The 11,446-nt window shown below is 40.2% G+C and overlaps 1 annotated feature.

Annotated features, from left to right (window-relative positions):
- Window positions 1,369-1,609: a silencer, noted in NCBI's record as "fragment chr14:38824709-38824949 (GRCh37/hg19 assembly coordinates)". NCBI's record gives its function as "represses an EF-1alpha promoter that drives an FKBP-Casp9 reporter gene in an ReSE screen in HepG2 liver carcinoma cells {active_cell/tissue: HepG2}" and the evidence as "EXISTENCE:reporter gene assay evidence [ECO:0000049][PMID:32094911]".

Consider the following 11,446-nt stretch of genomic DNA (forward strand, 5'->3'; position numbering starts at 1 on the left):
TGCCTGGCCTTGAATGATCTCCCTGCTAGAAAGTAAACTCTAAGAAGCTAGGGAAATTAGTAGATTTTTTTGTTTTCTGCATTATCCCCTGTGTCTAGAGCAACACTTAATAGATAGGGGCCCCCTGATTAATCCTGTTTGAATAAATGAGGTCCTTAAAATACATTGATAATCATCTAATGTCATAAAATCATATTTTTTGAATAAAGGGTGATATGGTTTGGCTGTATTCCCACCCAAATCTCATCTTGAATTCCCACATGTTGTGGGAGTTACCTGGTGGGAGGTAATTGAATCATGGGGGCAAGTCTTTCCCATGCTGTTCTTGTGACAGTGAATGAGTCTCATGAGATCTGACAGTTTTAAAAAGAGGCATTCCCCTAAACAAGCTCTTTCATTTTTTGCCTGCCACCATCCATGTAAGATGTGACTTGCTCCTCCTTGCCTTTCACCACGATTGTGAGGCTTCCCCAGCCACGTGGAACTGTAAGTCCAATTAAACCTCTTTCTTTTGTAAGTTGCTCAGTCTTGGGTATGTCTTTATCAGTAGCATGAAAACTAGTACATTAAATTGGTACCAGTAGAGTGGGGCGCTGCTGTAAAGATACCCCAAAATGTGGAAGTGACTTTGGAGCTGGGTAATAGGCAGAGGTTGGAACAGTTTGGAGGGCTCAAAAGAAGACAGGAAAATGTGGAAAAGTTTGGAACCTCCTAGAGACTTGTTGAATGGCTTTCTCCAAAATGCTGATAGTGATGTGGACAGTAAAGTCCAGATTGAGATGGTCTCAGATGGAGATGAATAACTTGTTGGGAACCGGAGTAAAGGTTACTCTTGCTATCTTTTAGCAAAGAGACTGGCAGCATTTTGCCCCTGCCCTAGAAATTTGTGGTAATTTAAACTTGAGAGAGTATCTGGCAGAAGAAATTTCTTGAGAGAGGTATCTGGCAGAAGAAATTTCTAAGCAGCAAAGCACTCAAGATGTGACTTGGGTGCTGCTAAAGGCATTCATTTTTACAAGGGAAGTAGAGCATTAAAGTTTGGACAATTTGAGACCTGACAATGCGATAGAAAAGAAAATTCCATTTTCTGAGAAGAAATTCAAGCCGGCTGCAGAAACTCGCATAAGTAACAAGAAGCCAAATGTTAATCCCCAAGACAATGGGGAAAATGTCTCCAGGGCATGTCAGAGGTCTTCACCCAGCCCCTCCTATCACATGCCCAGAGGCCTAAGAGGAAAAAGTGATTTCAGGGGCTGGTCCCAGGGTCCCTGTGCAGGCTAGGGACTTGGTGACCCACATCCCAGCTGTTCCAGCCATGGCTGAGAGGGGCCAACATAGAGCTCAAGGTGTGGCTTCAGAGGGTGCAAGCCCCAAGCCTTCACAGCTTCCACATGGTGTTAAGGCTTCAAGTGCACAGAAGTCAAGGTTTGGGAACCTCCACCTAGATTTCAGAAGATGTATGGAAACGCCTGGATGCCCAGGCAGAAGTTTGCTGCCGGGGTGGGGACCTCATGGGGAACCTCTGCTAGGGCAGTGCAGAAGGGAAATGTGGGGTGGGAGCCCACACACAAAGTCCCTACTGGGGCACCACCTAGTGGAGCTGTGAGATTAGGGACACTGTCCTCCAGACCCCAGAATGGTGGATCCACTGACAGCTTGCACTGTGCACCTGGAAAAGCTGTAGACACTCAACATCAGCCCATGAAAGTAGCCATGAGAGAAGCTGTACCCTGCAAAGCCACAGGGGCAGAGCTGCCCAAGACCATGGGAATCCCCCTTTTGTATCAGCATCAAAAGAGTCAAAGGAGATCATTTTGGAGCTTTAAAATTTGACTGCCCTGCTGGATTTTGGACTTGCATGGGGCCTGTAGCCCCTTTCTTTTGGCCAATTTCTCCTATTTGGAATGGCTGTATTTATGCAATGCCTGTACCCTCATTGTATCTAGAAAGTTACTAACTTGCTTTTGATTTTGCAGGCTCATAGGTAAAATACTTTGTACTGTGGACTTTTGAGTTAATGCTGAAATGGGTTAAGACTTTAGGGGACTTGTTGGGAAGGCATGATTGGTTTTGAAATGTGAGGACATGAGATTTGGGAGGGGCCAAGGGCAGAATAATATGGTTTGACTGTGTCCCCACCCAAATCTTATTTTGAATTCCCACATGTTGTGGGAGGGACCTGCTGAGAAGTAACTGAAGCATGGGGGCAAGTCTTTCCTGTGCTTTTCTTGTGATAGTGAATAAGTCTCACAAAATCTGATGGTTTTAAAAAGAGGTGTTATTCCCTTACACGAGCTCTTTCATTTTTTTGCCTGCCACCATCCACGTCAGATGTGACTTGCTCCTCCTTGCCTTCTGCCATGATTGTGAGGCTTCCCTAGCCATATGGAACTGCAAGTCATGTCAAGCCTCTTTCTTTTTTAAGTTGCTCAGTCTTGGGTATATCTTTATCAGCAGTATGAAAACCAACTGATACAAAGAGTATTCCTCTTTTCATTATTCCACCACTCAACATGTTGTTTAAGTAATGGCTTCTATTTATTATTATTGATAACAAAAATGAAAGCAAAGGATATAGCTTCATTTCTAGATCGTGGACAGAGTTGCTTGTAAAAGTAATTTATTTTTTGACCCTCATACTAATTAATTGATATGACAGTTATTTTACAAAGATGCTTTATTTCATCCCTTCGAGTATACTAGCAAAACACATTATCAGCCTGTTTTCTAAACTTCCACATGTTCTTTTCATACTTACAAATGTTTCCTCATTTTGTCCCCTTGTAACTATGTCTATTGTTAATCATTGCTTCTGTTTGTGAATAAGTGACTTGAGAAGCAGAGGATTTGGATTTCTAGCTCAGGCAAACATTTAAATGTAGTCTAGACAATGCAATCCAAGAAAAGTAAAAGAGCACTATGTATACTTCATTTACACCCCACCATCACTTCTACACACTAATTATATTATAAACCTGAGCATGCTGATATCCCTAATTTCTATATTTCTAAGGCTATTGTTTTTAAAACAAAAATTCTACTTTTAATATTTTTGCACAGAAGGATGTTTATTATTTAAATAAAGATACATGTTCATGATAAAATCATAAATATTATCCAGATTCTATGTAAGCAAACATTAGGAGTGTGTCATAATGGTGATGGTGGGCTACACATTATCAATTAGAGGAGGAGACATTGTTGCCATAAAGTCCTTCCACCTTTCCCCCCGAAAAGGATTGACAAGTAAATGTCCAAAAAATGTTCCAGTATTCTATGCTAGTATAGTCTGTAAAGAAAAAAATATTTATTTTACTTTTTTAAATTATAATTACCTCAACACAGTGTCACTTATACTTTTGTGAAAGCTCACAATTTGTGATACTGACACTCTCATGTGCACTGTCTCTGCAAAGAGGTATTTTAGATATCTTGTCCCCAAGGAAGACAATGGGACACTGCAGCTTAATTGCCTATGAAGCCCTTGCTCCCCACCTCTAGTTTTTCGATTATTTTACTTTATCTAATGTTTTCACATTTCCTCTGCAATCTGTCATGGAGATGTCTTTGGTATGTGTTCTCCACTCTCTAGGATGTGACTCATCCTGGCCAGGAAACTTGGAACACATTTAGAACTGCCAGCTGTTTTCTTAGGTTGTTCTACCCAATCTTGGAGTTCCTTTTCTTCTTAACAATATTTTTTTGCTTTTTAGTGCCAGTATTATTCATGATAGAGAATAAAAAATCAGGGTGCTAATCAGAAAGATATTGCAGAAGTAAAAAGCAGCATATTATAGAGGCAAATTACATGCAAAAGTTCAGGAAATCATGGAGCTGGAGACAATTTCCAGGAATTTGGTTTATGTGGTATATCAGAGTTCTCGAGAGAAACAGAATCAATAGGATGCATGAATAGGTAAGTAGCTAGGTAGATGGATAGATGATAGAGAAAGAGATTTATTTTAAAGAACTGGTTCACATGATTATGTAGGCAGAGATGTTTCAAGATCTATACTCAGCAAGCTAGAGACCCAGGAGATTACATGGTGTAGTTTCAGTACAAGTCTGAAGCTTGAGAATCAGCGGGGAGCAGATGGTATAGATTCCAGTCCAAGTAAAAGTTCAAAGGGAGGAGAAGACTGATGTTCTAGCTCAAAGACAATCATGTGGAGAGAGTGAATTCTCCCTTGCTCAAACTTCTCGTTCTAAACAGGCCTTCGACAGATTGGATAGGCCCACCTACATTGGGAGGACAATCTGCTTTAGTCAGTCTACTGATTGAAATGTCAGTCTCATCCAGAAACACCCTCACAGTCATACTCAGAATAATGTTTAGCCAAACATGGGGGCACCCTGTGGCCCAGTCAAGGTGACATAAAATTAACCATCACAGGTGGTCCAGTGAATTGTGATGTTTTCACAAGCAGGAAGAGAAGAAATATTGGACTTATAGACATGCACAGTGTGAGGTGGTCATGGAATATCCAGTTGGAAACATAGATTTGAGCCCAGAAAAGATTTTACATTCTAGCCTTAAATTTGGTGAGAGCTGAAGACATAGACATGGATGAAATTGCTTAGGAAGAACACATAGATCCATCGACTCCATTATGTATTGAACATCTATTATATTAAGAGTAAATAGGCACTAGAAATATAATTAACAAAATAAAGACAATTCTTACCATAAAGAAACTTAACTTCTAGGGAGGGAGAAAAAAAATCAAACAACTGAGTAAAGAAACAAAGAGATTATACCATCAAAAGTATGGTAAGTACAGAATAGAAAAAATGTCCTATCCATAAGAAGATATAACAAGAGAATCTGACTTAATCTGGAGTAATTTGGAAGACTTCCTTGGGTGAGTGACATTTACACAAAGACCTGAAGTTTGCATAGACTAAGCAAAAAAAGGATGGCATTAGAGAGACTAAAATACAGATTTATGTCTGCAACATTGCAATGAAGAGAAGAAATGTCAAGACCCAAGATTATAGAGGTAGTTACGGTCAGCTCATTCAGGGTCTTCTAGGTAATTCGAAGGTTTAGCAGAATGAATTACTGGTCACAATTCCTCACCCCCCGGTAGTAGTATTATGCATCCATCCCTTGTCATGTCTTCACGATAAGCACAGAATACTATTTCATCGCTTGATTTTGGATTTGACCACGTGACTTTCTTTGGGAGGTAAGATGTTAGTAGATATAATATAAGCAAAAATTTGAAGTGGGCATTTGTGTAGATTAAAACAATTTTTCCTCTTTCCACCGAGAATACTACTGTGACCAAATGTGTGGGAGTTTCCCCACCCCAACAGACACGCCAAGTATCTTGGCCCATTTTCTGTTGCTTACAACAGAATACCTAGAAAGGAGTAATTTATAAAGAAAAGGGATTTTTTTTTTCTTACAGTGATAGAGGCTGAGTCCAGGGTCAAGGGGTCATATCTGGTGAGGGCATTCTTGCTGTGAAGACTCTCTGCAGAGTCCTGAGGCAGCACAGGGCATCACGTGGTGAGGGGGCTGAACATGCTTGCTCAGAGCTCTCTTTTTCTTCTTATAAAGCCACCAGGCCCATTCTTGTGATAACCCATTAGTCTATTAATCCATTAAAAGATTAATCCATTCATTTAATAATGGATTCACACATGAGGGCAGAGCCTTCATGATCCAATCAGCTCTTAAAGGCCCCACCTCTCAATATTGCCACATTGGGAATTCAGTTTCCCATAAGTTTTGGAGGAGACAAACATTCAAACTGTAGCACCAAATAATCAATTCTACGGTTAACACTGTCTGAGTATCCTCTGATTTGGTTTAGTTCTGATGCTATTTATCTGGAGATAGCATCAGATCCCACAGGTTGAAGGCTCAGTTCTTAAGACTGTCCCCTCACAACCTTTCAGATGCCAAACAAGAGCCCCAGATTGTTGTACCCGTTTTGTACAGAACCAACCCAGATGTTGTACCAGATAGTTATAGCTTCTGGCTGACCAGCTACAAATCAGGGTTTCCACAACCTCCTCCTCAGGTTTGGTTAATTTGCTAGAGCAGCTAATAGACTTCTGGGAAACACTAACTTATGTTTACCAGCTTATTACAAAGGATATATTAAAGGTTACAAATAAATAGCTAGGTTAAGAGACACATAGGGCAAGTTCTGGAAGGATCTCAAGAACAGAAGCATCTGTCCCCATGAAGTTGGAATGCATCACCTTCCTGGCATATAAACGTCTAAGCCCCCACGTGTTCAGCTGTCTACAAGCTCTCTCCACCCAGTCCTTTCGGTTTTTATGGAAGTTTCATTACTTAAGCATTATCAATTTAATTATTGGCCACTAGTGATCAACTTAACCTTCATCCCCTCTCCCCTCCCTGGAGGCTGGATGGTGGAGCTGAGTAACTCCTCTAATCCTGCTGTGTGGTCTTTCCAGTGACCAGACTCCATCCTGAAGCTACCTAGTAGCTGTCAGTCATCAGTCAACTTATTAGCATACAAAAAGACACTTACCACTATGAAGATTTCAAAGATTTAAGGAATTGTATGTCAGAAAACTGGGGACAAGGACAAAATATATATTTTACAATATCATTGCATGAATGGTTGGCCTTATCCTCTTGCACTTTTGTCAGCACCATGAAAAGAGTTTGCACCAGCCAGGCTACTGGTCAAAGGAGGATGAGAGACTTATGGAGACCTGGAACCAACTGCATTTGGAATGGAAGCCAGTTTAACTCTGAGGTTACCTTCAGCCAGCTTGGAGACATGAGAGTAGAGTAATGCATTGTTGTTCTCTACCACTGAGCTTTGAGATATTTTACACAGCAAAAAATGACTAATACAGAGGCCTTGAAGAAAAACAATGTTTAAGAGTTAAGCTAAGGGAAAGGAACCAGAGGAGAGGAAAACACTAAAAAGAAGAAATTAGAGAGGCAGAAGGAAAATAATGAGGGAAAAAGTATTGAGGATATCGGGATTAGGGAGAATTTCAAGGCAGAAATGGTCAAATTCCACAAAGAGATCACACCGGATACAGAGTTAAAAATAAACTACTGAATTTGTAAATTATGTGTTCAATGTTTTTGAGCTTTGCCAAAACAGGTTCAGTTAGTTGGTAGAAACAGAAATCATATTGCTGTGGGTTAAAGGACAAGTGGAAAGGGAGAAAGTAGAGGCAGGATATGTAGACCATGCTTGAGTGTTATAATTAGATGGAGGGAGGCAGGTGTCAGGGAATAACACAAAGACCACAAGAGAAAAGTTAGAGTTGAATTTGCCTCCTTTGCAAGTAGAGGAGAACCAAGTCACTCAGAAAGAGTTCGGCAGGTCTCCACAAGCTGAAAGAGGAAGGATGAAATACGAGGCCAAAGAGAGAGTTAACTCCATATGAGAAAGGATTATTTGCATTAAATTCTAATTTATTAAGGAAAGTATTATAAATTATCTCTTTGAATTGATTATTACTTTGCTTTATGTCACAAAAATATAACAAAGTGTTTTAAGAGTCTCATAAATGCTGTGTTAGGCTTAAGATAGTGGAGCAGTCAGTTTTTTATGCACTTTTAAATGCTCGGCACTTGGCACATTTTTCTTTTCCCCGAGGTGATGACTTGAAGAGGAGGCATAGTCAAAAGAATTGCTTTTAGAATGAAGATATTTTGAACAGGTTTCTAGTTTTAAGAGAAATTTTGGTGGAGAGAGAGTGCAAGAGTGACAAATCTATGAAACAGAGTTAGACCAAGAGCTTCAGAAAGAAGTAGAACTACCTCCTCCTCCGACTGAGTAGGTAGGTAACCTGGAATGAAGATGAGGTTGAGGGGTAGAAACTGAAGGCAGAAAGACTTCCTTCCTGTTGACTGCTACTTTCTCTGAAACAGTGAAGATGGATCATCTGCAAGAGTGAAAGGATGGTAGACATACACCTTCTGTAATCGCCTTCTTGTTCCAAATATAATTTTAAGACAAAAGTTTTCCCCGTAGCAACTTTTACATGTCTCAGTTCAGTTTCTATTTTAACTTTTATTATAACCCTTCCTAACTTAATCTAAAATTCATAAATATAACATGAAGAATAAATTGATAAAATTGTGAAAGGCAGCCGGGCGCGGTGGCTCACGCCTGTAATCCCAGCACTTTGGGAGGCCGAGGCGGGTGGATCACGAGGTCAGGAGATCGAGACCATCCTGGCTAACATGGTGAAACCCCGTCTCTACTAAAAATACAAAAAATTAGTCGGGCGTGGTGGTGGGCGCCTGCAGTCCCAGCTACTCGGGAGGCTGAGGCAGGAGAATGGCGTGAACCCAGGAGGCGGAGCTTGCAGTGAGCCGAGATCGCACCACTGTACTCTAGCCTGGGTGACAGAGCAAGACTCCGTCTCAAAAAAAAAAAAAAAAAAAAAAAAAAAAAAAGTGAAAGGAAATGTGTCAATTGGCACAAAAAACGTTAAATGTGTATACACTTTGATTCAGTAATACCACTTCTAGGAATTTATGAAAATTGGAAAATGACATACAAGTTTGGTAATTGAAGAATTGTTTATATTAGTAAAAAATGGATTAACCTAAATATACATCAACAAGGATTTTTCAAAGTAAACTGTCATATAAGCATACACACAATAAAATTCTATGCAAAAATAAAAATTATGATACAGATCTATTATTTATGTCTACAACAATGTGTTTATATTTTGTGTGTGTGCACATGTACAAATATGAATACAGACCAAAATCTTAATAGCACTTATCTATGGGTTGAAAGATATGGAGTAGTTTTTCCTTTCCTCTTTTTACTTTTTGCATTGTTTGAATTTTTTTATAATAAGCATTTATTATAGCTGTTATATAAACGAGCCAAAGATTGCCTCTGTATATACGTCAGTTTGTTCATTTCTTCACTGCAGGCTGAGACACATTAGTTCAAAAGCCCACTAGCACCAACCTTAAACTTGACATATCCAATTGTTTCAAAAATACAGATTTTTAACTGTTTAGAGTCTGCCTGCTTTGCATACCCTGTGAAACCTTACCTGACAGCTGTTACCCATTGATAAGGTAAAACATTGTGGTTACAAAACCAAACTGCTATGGCCCTTTGGAGGTCTCTGACCCAGAGACCTCTGTCAGATTGCTGAGTGACATCACTTATATAGGAAGCACCGTTTCCGATCTTGCTCTCACCCAGGGATTCCCTTGCCCTCCTCATCTCCTGGAGGATGGCTCCCCATCTGAAGCCTCTGGATGATCGTGTGCTGTGACGGATTTCCCCTCTTACGCAATTCGGTAGAAGTGCTGCTCAATAAAGTGTGTTGGGTGTTACTGCCTTTCATGGTCACATATGTTACATTGATCAGCCTCAGAATCCCTTGAATACCATCTCCCAACCCCCAGGTCTTTGTAATAACACATAATAATAACAAAGTGGTGTTATTAAACCAGTTTTCTTTTTTTTAAGAATTTAAATGGGTCCCTACCCTGTGCCAAAGAAAACCTGGGCAGAATCAAGCTTCCAAGAAAAGATGCCTTGCAAAGCCTGGACCCAGGGAAGCTTAAGCTTCTAGTCAGGGTTTCGGTATTGACAACCAAGTTCAGACAGAAACTATCCTGTGAAATCTCAGCCGGCCGGGCGCGGTGGCTCACGCCTGTAATCCCAGCACTTTGAGAGGCCGAGGCGGGTGGATCATGAGGTCAGGAGATCGAGACCATCCTGGCTAACAAGGTGAAACCCCGTCTCTACTAAAAATACAAAAAATTAGCCGGGCGCGGTGGCGGGTGCCTGTAGTCCCAGCTACTCGGGAGGCTGAGGCAGGAGAATGGCGTGAACCCGGGAAGCGGAGCTTGCAGTGAGCCGAGATTGCGCCACTGCAGTCCGCAGTCCGGCCTGGGCGACAGAGCGAGACTCCGTCTCAAAAAAAAAAAAAAAAAAAAAATCTCAGCCATAACCACAAAATCACATTGTCCTGGATTTTTATCTCAAATACCCTTTGTTTTTAATATTACCCAGGCTCTATAGCTGGTATGTAGGTAGCAGATAGTCTAAGTGTTATTTCAGGGTAGTTTTCCAGTTCTTTATCCATATAAGTCATCAGGGACCTACCACAACTCCCTCCTTCCCCTCCTATGATATTTGCTCCTTTTATCAAAGTTTGTTTCGTGGATTCATCTAAGTGTTCTCCCTCATTCCCAGTAAGATTGCAGACCAGCAATCTTGTATGCTTCTCCCCTCAAGGAGTGCTCCCCTCAATTTGGAAAGGGTTCTCTTCTCAATATCTTCAACTGTGTTTCAGTATCCAAATACAGTTTGTTGATAGCATCTGCATCTTTCAAGTCTTTCCCCGCTTGCAGGGTAGAGAGCTGCTCCTTAACTCTCCACCCCGACTCCCTAAACTATCCTTGCTGATTAGGTAAGTCTTGGTTACTAACTAGGAAATGATCATCAATTACCACCGGACTTTAAGTGTACTATATTTATATATCTATATGTATATTCCTATCTTCCAGACTCTGGTGCAAATTTGCAAATTGAGCAGACTATTTTTTATTGGACATTCTAAGCTGCTATACAGCTACTATATATTGAAGCTTTATTTAACTTAAATAGATGAGATAGGTGGAATGAATGATTTTCATTTTACATTTAGGAACCTGAATCATCTTTGAGAAAGCAGGAGAGAAACTTGGCCACAGAGTTAGAGGGAAGGAAGCTATTTTCCTGAATTCCAATTCCATGTTCTTTGGAGATCTTCCTTGATAATCTTTGTCGCCTTTCTCCTCAACTAGAAAGTGCTTAGCGTTACTATCCCTCATGTGAGACATCCTGTGCTCTGACAATGGAAAATGAAAAATCATACTCAAAGATCTATTTTTGTTCACTTCCAAGCAAAGTATAGATAAAGAAGATCCAAAGAGGTGCTTGAATGGAATTTTCAGTTCATGTAAGTGTCCACATTTCTCTCTCCTGACTATTTCAAAAGTGATTGCTAGTTGAATGTGCCTTTGTAGCATGTCAGTATAAACCATTTTGATAGAATTATATGTTTCCTTTTCACCTAAGATCCTCCTTTCCCCTAAACCTTTTGTTCTGTTCTTGTCTCTAATTCTGTCTCTTCATTGGAAGTGATTTACTCAGGATACAAAAGTCACTCTCTGCTTCTTTCCAAATGTCAGTCCTCAGAACTTTCTCACACACTCTTAGAACCATATCAGAAATAAAAAAGACTCTCAAATCAGGCTTTAATTACAATCACTCTTGAGGGCACATCAGCCTCTCAATAACGACTAAGTTCACAGTATTCAAAGAACAACTCAAAGTATAGCATGTCCCAGTGCCCCACATTTTTCAGGCACTAAACGGTCTCATCATTTTTTTAGTTTCTTTTTTTTTAAGCAAGAAATATGCTTCAAAGAATAAATTTACAGACTTCAGTTTTTACACTTGGTTCACTG

The sequence above is a fragment of the Homo sapiens genome, chromosome 14 (genome assembly GCF_000001405.40).
Source record: "Homo sapiens chromosome 14, GRCh38.p14 Primary Assembly".
NCBI classification, from domain to species: Eukaryota; Metazoa; Chordata; class Mammalia; order Primates; family Hominidae; genus Homo; species Homo sapiens.